Genomic DNA, 15,725 nt, shown 5'->3' with positions numbered 1-15,725 from the left:
AATGCTGGACAACTATTTCAAATCACTTTCCAAGCCTTCTTTTATTACATTGCAACTCCAATCCACTCCCAAAAATATCTCCAATTGGGGGGCCAGGGTGAGTCTATTATTTTTAAAATTAAAAATAACACAAAAATGGTATTTGAACCTGAATTCTAAATGTCTGAGAAGACATAATCCTATACTCAGGTACATCAGTATAAACTGCTGTCCTTCACATTCAAAAATGAAAATGATTATTGTTCTTCTGGTGTATTTGAAAGGTACACAAGATTAGCCATCTCATTCAAAGATACATCTACACAGGCCTTTGTAAGATTTACAGGTATCATCTCTCCTACAATCAGATAAGCCAAGGGCTGACAAAGTGCAGCCAGCTGATAAAGTCTAGCCCTTTAGCCATATTTTTCAGCCCCACAGCTAAGAATGGTGTTACAGAGCCAGGCACAGTAGCTCACACCTGTAATACCAGCACTTTGGGAGGCTGAGGCGAGAGGACTGCTTGAGTCCAGAGTTTGAGACCAGCCTGGGCAACAAAACGAGACCTTCATCTCTACAAAAACGAAAAAGAAAGAATGGTATTATGGGTTGAATTGTGTCCCTCCCCTACCCTAAACCCCTGGCAACAAAAACAAGATATGTTGGAGACCTAACCTGCAATACTTCAGATGTGACCTTATTTGGACATGGGGTCTTACAGAGGCAATCAAGTTAAAATGAGATCATTAGGGTGGGCCCTAATCCAATATGACTGGTGTCCTTGTAAAAAAGGGAATTTTTTTTTTTTTTTTTTTTTTTGAGACGGAGTTTCACTCTTGTTGCCCAGGCTGGAGTGCAATGGCACGATCTCGGCTCACTGCAACCTCACCTCCCGGGTTCAAGTGATTCTCCTGCCTCAGCCTCCTGAGTAGCTGGGATTACAGGCATGCGCCACCACACCCAGCTAATTTTGTAGTTTTAATAGACGCGAGGTTTCTCCGTGTTGATCAGGCTGTTCTCGAACTCCCGACCTCAGGTGATCCGCCTGCTTTGGCCTCCCAAAGTGCTGGGATTACAGGCGTGAGCCACCACGTCCGGCCAAAAAGGGAAATTAGTACACAGAGACAGATACATACAGAGGAAAGATGATGTGAACACACAGGGAGAAGATGGCCATCTACAAACCAAGAAGAAGGTCCTGGAAAACATCCTTCCTTCACTGCCTGAAGAGGAACAAACCCTGCCAACAAACCTTGATTTCAGACTTACAGCCTTCAGAAAGAATCATGAGACAATAAATTTCTGTTGCTTAAGACATCTAGTTTGCAACACTTTGTTACAGTAGCCCTGGCAGATGAATACAAATGGTTTCCACATTTTCAAGTGGTTAAAAAAAATATGTTATTCTGAGACGTGAAAATTATACGAAATTCGAATTTCAGTGTAAAGTTTTTCTGGGACACAGTCACATTTATTCCTTATTCGTTTATGTATTACCTATGACAAACTGCTTTTGTGTTCACAATGTAGGGGTGAGTAGCTGCAACAGAGAGCTTGTGGCCCACAAAGGCTAAAATATAGCACTTTCCAGAAAAGTGTGCCAATCTGAGAAAAACTACTGTGTTACAAAACATCACACCTTATATTGTACATGCTCCCTAAGAAGATCAATTTGTTATCATTTTCCATCTTCCAGCTGACCTTCACTATTCTGCTTTTCTTCTAAAAATTAGGTCAACAGACAATTTACATATCCCTGGACCATCAATCTGTTAAGTCCACTACTGTCAGCAAGAACTTATGTGACGGATAAAACTATATAAAATACCTCATACAACTCTCAACGATAGATCCAAGAATCACAACCGCATAAATGATCCCAATAAAATTCGACAGGCTCTAGCAAGCAAGCAAACAAGTGATTATGTATGAATTAGGGCTGTGTTTACCTTCTATTATAAAAATACCGATTTATTGACCAAACCCTAGGGGGTAGCACACAGAAAGAATGATTAATTGTGTCTGCATTAACTCCTTAGGTTCCAATTTTCTTTCTTTTTTTTTGAGACGGAGTCTCGCTCTGTCACCCAGGCTGAATGCAGTGGCGTGATCTCGGCTCACCGCAAGCTTCGCCTCCCGGGTTCACACCATTCTCCTGCCTCAGCCTCCCAAGTAGCTGGTACTACAGGCACCCGCCACCGCGCCTGGCTAATTTTTTGGGGGGTTTTTTTTGTTTTTAAGTAGAGAAGGTGTTTCACCGTGTTAGCCAAGATGGTCTCGATCTCCTGACCTCGTGATCCACCCACCTCGGCCTCCCAAAGTGCTGGGATTACAGGCGTGAGCCACCACACCTGGCCCCAATTTTCTAAAAGCTAAAAACTCAATGTTTGTTAATGCAATGAAACAATTAAGTTCTGCCACATTAGCCAACTGTTTGGCAGCATGTACTAAGGTTGCAGAAATGCATACACATGTATACCAAAAGACACGTAAAAGAATGTTTAAGCAGTACTTTGTGGAATAGCTCCAGACTGAAAGTAATCCAAATGCCCATCAACAGTAGAAGGGATAAACTAATCACAGTAAATTCACACAATGAAATACTTCCCAGCAATGAGAATGAACAAATTACATGCAACATAGAATAACCTCATAAACACAAAGATGAAAGCCAAACAAAAAGCAAAACCTATGAATGATATCATTTACGTAAATTTCAGTAACAAGCAAAACTAATCTATGGTGCCAGAGTAGGAGAGTGGTACTCTGGAGAGGCAAGTGGGAGTAATGACTGAGAAGGGACATGAAGAGAAATGAAAGGGGTTTCTGAGGTTTTGGTAATATTCTATTTCCCTACTGCGGGTGTGTATGATATATTTCAACAAAAAAAGGTTAACAAAAAACAAGTTCCACTTCCAGGAGATACTTCCTAAGATTACTAGAAGTGGAACTGAATATGTTCCTACTGGCCCCACTGTTCCATACGTAAAAACCATAAACTCTGGACAAAACATAAAAAGTAACTACCTGAAGGCGCTGAACAGCAATCAAAACCAGGCAGAAACTGTGAGTCTGCACCGGAAAATGGGAATTGCATTGAGAAAGTTTCCTTTTGTTTTTCTAAATGGCTTTTTGCCTGAGGGAAGGCCTACGTAAGCCACGTTAGGTAATAGAATCCAGATAGAAACTACTGTCTTACTGAGATGAAGAACCAGATGACAGAGTTCAGAGTGATTCTATCAGGTGGAAAGTGGAGGGGGAAATCAAGAAAAGGAGAAAGCCAGAAATGGAGAGGTTCAAATCTACCTATAAACTTGGCCCAAATCTCCAGCTGATCCATGAAATATACATGCATGGGATAGACTACAGCAGCCCAGGTAAGACTAAAAACTGAATAAAGAATTTAGCTGCTGATGGTGGTGGGAAAGATGGTTTCAATTTTGAGACCATTCAAGTGAAATGCCTGCTAAAACAAAAATTAATATTATTTGGAGGTATACAACAGAAACCAGTATTTCTATAATAAATTGTCCACAATGTCTAGGATGCATTTCAAAATTACTAGACATTTAAAGAAACAGGAAAACATGACCCATACTCAAAGAGAAAAGGTGATCTATGCAGACCAACACTATGATAACCTGAATGTGTAATTAGAGAAGGATTTTTTTAAGCTACCTTCACTTGGTTTTCTCTAATGTTAGTATCTTAAATAACCCTAATATGGCTATAGAAACCAAGAAATTAATGTTGATACAATACTATCAAGGAATTTATAAACCTTATGTAAATTCTGCCAATCAATCCACCAATATCTTTATTCTGGCCCAGGATCCAATCCAAGATGCCACACTGCATTTAGTTGCTACATATTCTCAGTCTCCACCAGTCTGAGACAGTTCCCCAGTCTTTCTTTGTAGACAAGAATTTTAAAGCAGCTACTATAACTATGCTCAAGGATTAAAGAGTAAAATAGTCTCTTAATAAATGAATAGGAAATTTCAGCAAAGAAACAGAAACCATAAAAGAACACAAATTCTGGACCAAAAATTACAATAACCAAAATAAGAACATTCACTGGATACAAAATAAAGATGACAGGAAGAGTCAGTAAACTTAGAATAGATACTATTCAATCTGAACAACACAGAGGGAAAAAATAAGAAAACTGAAGAGTACTGTGTATTACAACATCAAAGGTCTAAACCTACATGTAATAGGTATAATTGGAATTCTATAATCAGAACTAAGAGAGAATGGGGCAGAGAAAAATATTTGGAGAAATAATGACCAAAATTTTCCCAAACGGAGTACAAGATGGAAATTTACAGGTTCTAGGAGATCAATGAAACATAAGCAGGACAAAATACAAGGAAAAACACTTAAGCACATCATAGTCAAATGGTCAACAACGAAAAAGACAAAACTGCTAAAACAGAGAAAAATGACAAATCATATAAGAAAACAATCATAAGAATTACTGATTTATAGCGAGGAGTGGTGGTGCACACCTGTAATCCCAGCTATTTGTGAGGCTGAAGCAGATCACTGAAGCCCAGGGGTTTGAGGCTGCAGTGAGCTATAATCGCACCACTGCCCTCTAGCCTGAGCAATAGAACAAGACCCTGTCTCATTCATTCACAAAAGAATTACTAATTTCTTAGTTAAAAAAATAACTAAGGCCAAAAGACAGTGGAAGGTCATGTTAAGTGCTCTTTTTTTTTTTTTTTTTTCTGAGACAGAGCCTTGCTCTGTCGCCAAGGCTGGAGTGCAATGGTGCTATCTTGGCTCACTGCAACCTCCACCTCCCATGTTCAAGCAATTCTCCTGCCTCAGCTTCCCAAGTAGCTGGGATTGGCGCGTGCCACCATGCCTGGCTAATTTTTGTATTTTTAGTAGAGGCGGGGTTTCACCACGTTGGCCAGGCTGGTCTCGAACTTCTGACCTTAGGTGATCCACCTGCCTCGGCCTCCCAAAGTGCTGGGATTACAGGCATGAACCACTGTGCCCGCCCTTTTTTTTTTTTTTTTTTTTTTTTTTTGAGACAGTCTCGCTCTGTCGCCCAGGCTGGGGTACAATGGCACAATCACAGCTCACTGTAGGCTCAAGCAATCCTCCCACATCGGGCTCACAAACAGCTGGGACTACAGGCGTGTGCCACCACACCCAGCTAACAACACACTTCTAAATAACAACACACTTCAAAGAAAAAAATCACAAATGAAATCAGAAAATGCTTTGAATTTAATCAAAATAAAAACACAACGTACCGAAATTTGTGGAATTCAACTAAAGCAGTACTGAGAGAAAAATGTATAGCTTTAAATGCCAATATCTGAAAAGAAGAAAGTTATAAAATCTCCCAAGATTCTGGCTCAAGACACTAGAAAAAGACCAAATTAAACCCAACATAGAAGGAAAGAAAGAAAAATAAAAGCAAACATCAGGGCAAACAAAAACAATAGAGAAAATGAACAAAGGCAAGAGTTAATTTTTTTTTTTTTTAAGATTAACAAAATCAAGACTGGGTGCAGTAGCTCACATCTATAATACCAGCACTTTGTGAGGCAAGGCAGGAGAATCACTAGAGGCCAGGAGTTCGAGGCCAGCCTGGGCAACAAAGTGAGACCCCCAACTCTACAAAAAAAAATTTTTTTAATAGCCAGGCACAATGGTGTGCGCCTGTAGTCCCAGCTACTCAGGAGTGTGAGGTGTGAGGATTGCCTGAGCCCAGGAGTTGGAGGTTACAGTGAGCTATGACCACATCACTGCACTTAAGCCTGGGTGACAGCAAGACCCTATCTCAAAAAAAAAAAAAAATTAACAAACTTGATAAATACAGATTAACCAATATCATGAATGAAAGACAAAATAACGGCCAGGCACGGTGGCTGACGCCTGTAATCCCAGCACTTTGGGGGCCCAGGTACGTGGATCACCTGAGGTCAGGAGTTCGAGACCAGCCTGGCCAACATGGTGAAACCCCATCTCTACTAAAAATACAGAAACTAGCCAGGCGTGGTGCGCCTGTAATCCCAGCTACTCGGGAGGCTGAGGTAGGAGAATCACTTGAACTCGGGAGGTGGAGGTTGCAGCAGTGAGCCAAGATCGTGCCACTGCACTCCAGCCTGGATGATAGAGCGAGACTCCATCTCAAAAAATAAATAAATAAAGACAAAATCACTACAGACCATACATATATTATTAAATGAACGATACAATGAACTTTATGCCAAAAAAATCTGACAACTTAGGCAAAATGGACATATTCCATGAGAAATATAACTTATCAAAATTGACATACTATAGACTAAAAAATCCTAATAGCCCTAACTCTACTAACTGAATTTGTTATCAAATGCGAATATTCACACAAACCAAACCACAGGTTCAAATGGCAAATTCTCTCAAACATTTAAGGAATAACTAACATCAATTGAACACTTCCAGAAAAATAGACGAATATTTAACAACTGATTTTGAGGCAAGCATAACACCTCATATCAAATTGTGACAAAGAAAACATGAGCACGTATGCAAAAATCTTTAACAAAATACTGCACTAACAAATGGAGTCTAGTAATATATTTAAAAATGATTCATCATGACCAAGTGACGTTTATCACAGGAATGTAAGGTTGTTAAAACAACTCATCAACACCCACACCATAATACTGCAGGAGAGATCTTTCACAAAAATCTCATCACATTCCTCACTTTCTCAAAACTCTTTGGCTTGGTTTTTGGCTTCCTATAACCACATACAAGACAGAAACCTTAACACAGCATGTAATGCTCCTTTCACAACCCCAGCCCCGCGCTACAGTCACATCTCTAGGTAGTACCCTCCACTATGTACCCCATATTCCCACTACAATGGCCATGTCCTCTGCCCAAGATATACCACTCCCCTCCCTCCCTCTATCACAAATGCCAAAGCTCCATCTTGTTCCAGTTTCTCTGAAAGTTTTCCTAACTTTATCAGGTTGATTTCATTACTCCTCTCTCTACACTCCCACTGCATCTTTTGTAACCCTCAATCACAACAGATATTACCATTTCTTTGTTTTTCTTTCTATTCAACTATCACTCCTACAGGGCAGGGAATGCCCCATTAACAGAATAAAGAAGAAAAACCATATCATCATTTCAAAAGATGCAGTAAAAGCATTTGACACATGTCAATACACATTTATGAAGGAAAAAACTCATCAAATTAAGAATTAAAGGAAATTTCAATCTAGTAAAGACATCTAAGAAAAATTTAACAATTAACATCATTCTTAACTTTCAAGTAGCAGGTGTCAACATTTACATTAGCTTATTTATCTCTCACTGGTCTTAACAACCACCCTGTTTAAATGTGAAACAAAAAGAAAAAAGGAGGAAGTTATTGTCCCCTGGTATAATAGCAACTCTCGGTCAAAAATATTAAATCATATACTCAAGTAAGAAAGCCAAGGCAAGAATCCAGTCTTTCACCCAAAGTACTTTTTCACTATAGTACACTATCTCTAATATTCAGGTTCATGTCACAATGGACAATTAGTCCCTCCTACAAAGCATACTTTGGGAACTTTATCAAAGACTGAGTACTGGTTCTTATTGTGACAATTCTCAACATTTTCTAGCAATGCCACTAGTTTAGGTAACTATGGCGAATAGGCAGTAAAATATGCAAACAGTTATTATATTTCATTAGCTGATCAAAAAAAATTGGACAAGTACCACTAATGTGGAATGAAAAATTTTTAAACCCACATTAAGGACCCATACAACAACCTCAAATCCCCTTTCCTTAAATAGGGGTGCCACAGAGAGGAAAGGGCATAATCATTGGTCTGCTCCTTCCCTTTACTAGTCTAAAATGCAGCAGATGCAGCAGAAAAATTGGTAATTTGAAGATGTATTTCTAATTCGCTACCTGTCAGCAGCAAGCTTAGGACCACAGCTCCTTAACAGAGAAACCAGAGTGACATGGCCACTTCTGAGTTTCTGTCTGTGATTCATATGAATTTTTCACGCACGAAAATATAAATGTTGCCTTCACATCATTCCTTCTGTGATTCACCACAGCAAGCAAGTTCCACAATGAGGTTAGATCTGCTTCTTTACTGCACAACATGCACTTCACTTTAAAGCACACAGGGAAATCCAAGTTTCTTCAAATAATGCTTACAGAACTACAAAAAAAGATAGGAAGGATTTTTCTTCTTTAAACTAGCTTTGCCACTCAACCGCCTATAGGCCAATCATTACTATGCATTCTCTTTTGTATCCTTTTGGGTCCCCTAAAGGTGAACATTTGACTTTGAGTCATCATCTGTCTGAGACAAGACATTAAACAATTCAGACAAAATAAGCCTTCTCCACAAATGGAGTTGCCTTCTGTGTGAGCATCCCAGGTCCTTAGTAAAGCAGTCCGTATGTTTCATGACAACACAGTGCCCTTTACAGACAAATTCCTAAAAGGCTTCGTGAAGTTCTTACCTGACCTTACCACTGTTGAAAGTCAGTGACCACAGAGCTATCTCTCACTGACATTTACAGTGATTGAAGTAAAAATAAGAACCTCTTTTCTTTAAGTGACACAGAAAATTCAAAGGTCACTGGATAATACACTACACCAAGTACAGTGCACCAGTATCTCAGATACTTCTACACTCAAAATGTCTTTTTCAACAATCTTTGGGAGTGTCCTGTGAAAACCACTGGGTAACCTAATTTTTAATCAAGCAGTCAACAAAACAGCCTTAACATGACTACTTTCTGGATAAGCCAATATTTTAATTTCAAACTTCCCTTTAATTCTAAGAATTCAGACATGTTTGGACAGTCTAATAATGTCTTTAAAATTAAAAAGCTGTCTTTTAATTTAATTCTATTCTTATTAATCATCTAAGAAAAAAAGAAGTGGGGGTTATCAAGATAATTTAGAGTTCTCTCAAATACCACATCATATAACAACATTGGGCAAACTATATATAGACCAAACCACCTAACTTCACAATACCACCCTCAAATCTAATTTCAGGAAGAAACAAAAAAGACTGGAAAATAAAAGAATGATAATCTCACCTAATCCCATTCTAACATACTTTTTTTAAAAAGCTTCCCTTTAGCTGAACAATTCCAATCAACTCTCCTACTATCCACCTGGGACAAACAGAGCTCCTACTATCTCCAGGTTAAGGTAGGAGTTGCCACTACAGAGCCTGGGGCAGCTCACATCTAGCAGTTTGGGAGGCGGAGGAGGAGGCAGAAGGATAGTTTAAGGCCAAGAATTTGAGACCAGCCGGGACAATATAGTGAGACCTCCATCTCTACAGCAGTGAGGGGCAAAAAGATAGGAGTTGCCACCAGAGATATGGCATTAGGGCACACAGACCAGAAATTAAGTAAAGCAGCTAAAGATGCAGGAAGACTGAAGGGTGAAAGCCCCACTCCTAGTTTCATAGTTGGAAAAGAGAAGTTTTTGCACTTTTGCACCTACCGTTCGACTTGCAACCTACCTACGGACCACACTCTTTGTGACCTACTCCTATTTAACCCAGCTCTCCATTCCAAATGGCAACTCCCTTGCCTCTGACTTCCTCTGCACCTGTGACGCTATAACACAACTGTCCTTCGTGTCCTGAGTCTACAACTTAACTCTGAAGTCAATTTATTTTGTCCACCCAAACTGTTCAAACCACATCCCCAACCCAAAGTCACAGATGTTGCAATGCATGTAAAATATGTAGTTTCTAACTTTTCATCAAAAAAGGGAAATTCTTCAGAGATAAGGCTTAAGTACAATGACAGATATTGTTTGATCTGAGTTTAAAAGGCATAATTTCAAGAGACAAGTGTGTGCGTGTGTATCTGTGTGTGCCATATTTTACATACAGTCAGCTCTCTGTTTAATGTGGGTTCTGCATCCATGGATTCAACCAACTGTAGATTGAAAATATTCGGAAAAAGAAATTGCACCTGTACTGAGCGTGTACAGATCTTTTTTCTTGTCATTATTCCCTAAACAAAACAATACAACAACTATTTATACAACATTTACATTGTATGAGGTATTATAAGCAATCTAGAGATGATTTAAAGCGTACAGGATGATGTACGCAAGTTTATGGAAATACTAAAGTTTTTATTTTTTATTTTTTTTGAGACGAAGTGTCACCCAGTCTCCCAGGCTGGAGTGCAGTGGCACGCTATCGGCGCACTGAAACCTCCACCTCCCAGGTTCAAGCAATTCTCGTGCCTCAGCCTCCTGAGTAGCTGAGATTATAGGTGCCCGCCACCATGCCCAGCTATTTTGTAGTTTTAGTAAAGACATGGTTTCACCATATTGGCCAGGCTGGTCTCAAACTCCTGACCTCAAGTGATCTGCCCGCCTTGGCCTCCCAAAGTGCTGGGATTACAGATGTGAGCCACCACGCCCAGCCATATTAAGCTATTTACATCAGGGACTTGAGCATCCTCGGATTTGGTATCTACAGGAGGTTCTGGAATCAATCCCCCAGGAATACCAAAGAATAAATATAGAGTGAGAGTGTGCGTGTATGTGTGCATGTGTGTGTGTGTGTGTGTGTGTGTGTGTGTGTATAACCACATATATAAACATACATAAACATATGAACATACACACATATATACATATATACACACATATACACCCACACACATACATATATTTTTTTCTTGAATTGGTCTTCATACAAAAATGGCTATGTCCCCTCTCCTAAACATTTCTCATCATGTTCCACAGGAAAAAAGAATCTTCCAGAAAAATCCATAATCCTCATTTAGAATTATGGTTACTACTGCACAGTACTCATATTTAATTAAGAAACCATCATTTTGCTTATCTCAGATCCCCAGATAAGTGTGCAATTATGGAGAAGTTTATCTGTAAGAACAGATAAAGGGAAATTGTCTACACATGTGCATGTAGAAAGAAATTATGGAGATGGATTCAGCCCTCAAAGCAAAAGCTCTATTTAATTTGAATTTTTACTTAAATCAAAAGCAGAAAATTTAAATTGTCACTAATCTTAACTGGTCAAGGCATGATGCATCAGTCTCATAACCTGGCAAAAACCTGCCCTTAAATGATCAGGTCAGAAACAGTAAGAGTCTCTATCCTGGTCCTCGGTAATACAGAGAGCTCCCAAATAAAATATATGTATTACAGAGCAATTCAGCCAAATATACAGTCTCTGATTTTCACATGGCCTACACAAACTTTATGTTCATTAAACATAAGGTGCAAATATTAAACACAAATTTTGAGTTGCAAACCCCAATTCACATTCAAACTTTTAGAACAAGCAAAAGCTGTCTAAACAACATATGCTATCCCAGCCACTGTTTGTCACTAGTCTAGTGACAAATCATGGAGATGGATTCAGACCTCAAAGCAAAAGCTCTATTTAATTTGAGCTCTATTTAATTGCCACTAGACTTAGTCCAGCCACAATCCCTGCCCTCATGGAGCTTAGCGTATGCCATCAACCCAATCCATCCACCCATTTTAGAGCAACAATGTGATGTGACAGGATTTGGCATATTGTCCAAACGCTACTTGTCCTGGACTGGTTTGTCTCCCAGAACAGATGACTGACTGCCTGGTCCTAATTAAGTGGATACTATAATCAAAGCCATGACTGCTTACCCATTTGAAAATATGTTTCAGAAACCATTTTGGTTAAACTGAAAAAGAAAAAAAAAAAAACCTGTGAAACCTAAAACTGTTAAGCAATAACACTAAAACAGGTCATCATTAAAAATCAAAGAAATCACTAGTTCTATTATCAACCTTTTGGTGTGTCTTTATTGTCATTTGAAGAGTCAGGGTGAAAGACAAGTGATGTAGCACTTCTGTTTTTAATAATTACAGTTTAAACTACCTGTAGGTTGGTGCAAAAGTAATTGCGGTTTTTGGTCCTTAAAAGGGACTTGAGGAACCTACCCAGGATTACAGAAGTTTCTTTCCACCTAATGAGACAGTCTGGCAATTTACTAGTTTTGTATCTGATTCAATAGAAATATTTCAAAGTGGTATGTGACCACTTGATGTGGAATGTGGGTTTCCTTCTAATAAATCCCTTTGCCAAATGCAGGGAGTTGCAGACTTGCCTCTGGCAAGAGTAAATAAAGCAAATAGGTGAATAAACTTATCCTGATGTGGGAGCATTCTCCTATTGGAGTTCAGTCTTGATCAAAGTGTCAGCGCAGGAATCAGACTCCTAGGAAGGTTACAGTATCTCCTGACAAGACCTGCCAACCACAGCAATAGTGTTGCCATTACTCGATGCCTGCCTTCTGATGGATTTGGGTGAGTAGCTGAGCAAGCCAAGGGGAGGCTGGGTGATTAAATAAGAAATAGGGGATTTTTAGTTAGACAAGGCTTCATCTGAGAAAAAAAAAAACGTTAACAAATAATCAGTTGGAAGTTGGCCCAAATATTTTCCCTGGAAAATACCCATTTTTTTTTCCCAGCAAAATTTTGTTAGGGGTTATGTTATTGAGGAATGAACTGACATGAATACGTGGAGATGTTCTGTAATACCATACTATGCTAGACATCTGAAGGCCCAGGGCACTTTGTTTTTTTTTTGTTTTGTTTTGTTTTTTTTAGAGACAGGATCTCGCTCTGTCACCCAGGCTGGAGTGTTGTGGCACGATCACAGCTCATTGCAGCCTTGACCTCCCCAGCTCAAGCCTCCTGAGTGAGCTCAAGTGAGCCCGCCCACCTCAACCTCCTGAGTAGCTGAGCCTATAGGCAAGCACCACCATGCCTGCTTTTTCTTTTTTTTTTTTTTGGAAAGATAGGGTCTCACTATGTCACCCAGGTCTCAACTCCTGGGCTCAAGCAATCCTCCAGCCTCAGCCTCCCAAGGTGCTGGGATTATAGCCATGAGCCACTGTGCTCAGCCCCTGCAGCAGATTTAAATTCCAACTCGTTATAACTTCTTAAAAGACTATGAAAATATCAAAATGTACATGAATCAAGTTTTAAGATACTGTATGATGGGTGAATGAGGCCGTCTACTGTACCATTTCTTTCTTTGAATTCTTAGGCATGGTTTGGCAGTGCAAGAACTTTGCAATATTAATAAATTCAATAAAAAGTAAACATATGGTTAAAAAACAACAAAAATCAAAATATAACTTAAAAATTAAATTTTTTAACATTAAAAAATTCAATAAAAAGTAAACATATAAAAAAGTAAACAGAAATCAAAACATAACTTAAAAAATAAAATTTTCTTAGGCTATTTCCTCTTTGAGCACATTTTTAAAAAATAATTCTGAAGTCATAGCCCAACTTAATAAGAAAGAATGTTATGAATCAATTATTCCATTTGCATCAGTGACAACACTGGGAAAGATTATAAGAAAATGCTTATGATGCAGAGCAGCAAAACACATACAACATATTTTCTATTTCTACTTGAAATAGTTCAATAAGCTTACAAGGCTCTAAAAACAGTGAAATATTAGAATAAAGCTCCAGTTATCCATATGTAATGCTTAAAAAGAAGTATTTCTAAGTAAATTTTGGAGTGTGAAAACCACACATCATAATACATAAGGCTCTGTGGTACTAACCAACTCTCTCTGAAGTTATTGCTAGAGGAGCACAGACTTATTTGCAGCCAGATATATGGAGGATGAAAACCTAGAAGTTTCATAATTCTTTCATAATATTTCATAATAGTTTTAACCCCTGTAAGTCTTACTTTCTTCACCTGTGAAATGTAGACACTCATACCACACCAGAAGATTAATGCTGGGATCAAATCAAGTAAGTACGTAAAGCCCCTGAAACAGTTCTTTTTTCACTGTACCCTTAATAAATTACACTAATTTCCTACTCGTCTTTTTTATCATGTTGTCCCCTCAGCCTGGAATGCCTGTCCTTTTCCTCCCCGCTCCTGTCTACCTAGACCACATCATTTCTTCAGTGTCCTTTTCTAGTCACTCTTGATACCCACTTTATCTACAACACTATGATAGCCTTTCTCATCTTTGAAATCAAACTGTTTACTTTCATCATGCTATTTTTTTATTTTTATTTTTTGAGACACAGCCTAGCTCTGTCGCCCAGGCAGGAGTGCAGTGGCACGATCTTGGCTCACTGCAACCTCCACCTCCCAGGCTCAAGCAATTCTCATGCCTCAGCCTCCCAAGTAGCTTAGATTATAAGAGTGTGCCACCATGCCTGGCTAATTTTTTTATTTTTAGTAAAAACAGGGTTTCACCATGTTGGCCAGGCTGGTCTTGAACTCCTTGCCAAGTGATTTGCCCGCCTGGGACTCCCAAGTGCTAGGATTACAAGTGTGAGCCACCACGCCCGGCCTTATGCTATTTAACTAGACATTGCTCTCATTTTTATTTAACATTTCACTGGCATATGGTACAGATTTCCAGCAGAGAAGCTTTAAGGCTTCATGGAGTACCATATCTCATCCTTCTACATCCACCTCAACACCTATCAGTGCTTTACAGAAACTAAGCCACATCCCATAAATGAATAAATGATCAAATAAAGGCACAGAAATTACAAGTTGTTCTGTTTGAAAAAAAAAAACTGGGTGAAAAAGGTACCTGATGTGGCCGTCACAAACAGAGAAGAGTAAATATATGGTATATAGTGTTAACTAAAATCTAAACCTACTTAAAAAAAAAAAAAAAAAAAACTAAGTGAATATCCCCTTGGCACTAAACATCACTGCAAACAAGTCCAAATGAGGAAAGACATAATGCAATCAATTTCTTACTCAAAATGATACCCCCTATAACTTTAGCCACTTCTACAGAGAATAAAAAATTTGACAGATATTCTCAGGTCTGAATTAGGATTCTGCTTTTCCTAACTCACTGTCTTCCTAAAAAGTCAGCCAGCAGGGGGAGTGCAAATTCATTAACATCATAGTCACAAAATACTTATGGCTAACAAATTTTTGAAATTCTGGAATTTCTTTTTAAGTCAAACTTCTGAATATAAGCCACAAAAACTACTGGAGGCCATGCATTTTAAAACCATAATATTTTATAATATTATTCCTCTTTACTATGTAAGTACTCCATAAAACTGCCACTTCTTACCTCAGGTCCTTTTGGGTTTACAGGTACATTCCAAAAAAAAAAAAAAAAAACTCTTTTTGGCCTGGCACGGTGGTTCACGCCTGTAATCCCAGCACTTTGGGAGGCCGAGGCGGGTGGATCACCTGAGGTCAGGAGTTCGAGACCTGGTGAAACCCCACGTCTACTAAAAAATACAAAAAAAAAAAAAAAATTAGCTGGGCGTAGTGGCAGGCTCCTGTAATCCCAGCCACTTAGGAGGCTGAGGCAGGAGAATCACTCAAACCCAGGAGGTGGTGGTTGCAGTGAGCCGAGATCACGCCACTGCACTCCAGCCTGGGTGACAAGAGCAAGAGTCTATCTCAAAAAAAGAAAGAAAAAAAAAAAAAACCCACTCCAGCCTGGGCAACAGAGCTAGACTCTATCTCAGGAAAAAAAAAAACCCTTTTTAAAGACAGAAAAATAAATCATTATTCATCAAAATTCAAATGACAATGGAGAAAAGCTACTACATTCTAAAATGTTACACAAACTGATTGAGGTACAAGGCCAGTCCCACAATATTTGCAAGCCATTCATGAATTCAATCCTCACCTATCACTGAAATCAAAGCCTCACCTGAAGGTCTCCAGCCTGCTGCTATCATGCCCCTCCCCAATAAGCAA

At 39.0% G+C, this 15,725-nt stretch overlaps 1 protein-coding gene across 3 annotated transcripts in view, besides 2 other annotated features; it reads right to left on the bottom strand.

Moving 5' to 3' along the window:
* ZFAND3 (zinc finger AN1-type containing 3) overlaps nt 1-15,725 on the bottom strand; it is a 334,898-nt gene that overhangs the window by 279,312 nt on the left and 39,861 nt on the right. The window lies entirely within an intron of this gene.
* Nucleotides 7,041-7,110: a silencer, noted in NCBI's record as "silent region_17157". NCBI's record gives its function as "represses an Ori minimal core promoter by ATAC-STARR-seq in GM12878 lymphoblastoid cells {active_cell/tissue: GM12878}" and the evidence as "EXISTENCE:reporter gene assay evidence [ECO:0000049][PMID:35858748]".
* Nucleotides 8,054-8,254: a silencer, noted in NCBI's record as "peak5795 fragment used in MPRA reporter construct". NCBI's record gives its function as "represses an SCP1 promoter by STARR-seq MPRAs in K562 erythroleukemia cells {active_cell/tissue: K562}" and the evidence as "EXISTENCE:reporter gene assay evidence [ECO:0000049][PMID:32103011]".

This window comes from Homo sapiens, chromosome 6, assembly GCF_000001405.40.
Source record: "Homo sapiens chromosome 6, GRCh38.p14 Primary Assembly".
In the NCBI taxonomy this organism is placed as follows: Eukaryota; Metazoa; Chordata; class Mammalia; order Primates; family Hominidae; genus Homo; species Homo sapiens.
Note: the sequence above shows the minus strand (reverse complement) of the source record. Positions and strands in the feature narration are given on the sequence as shown.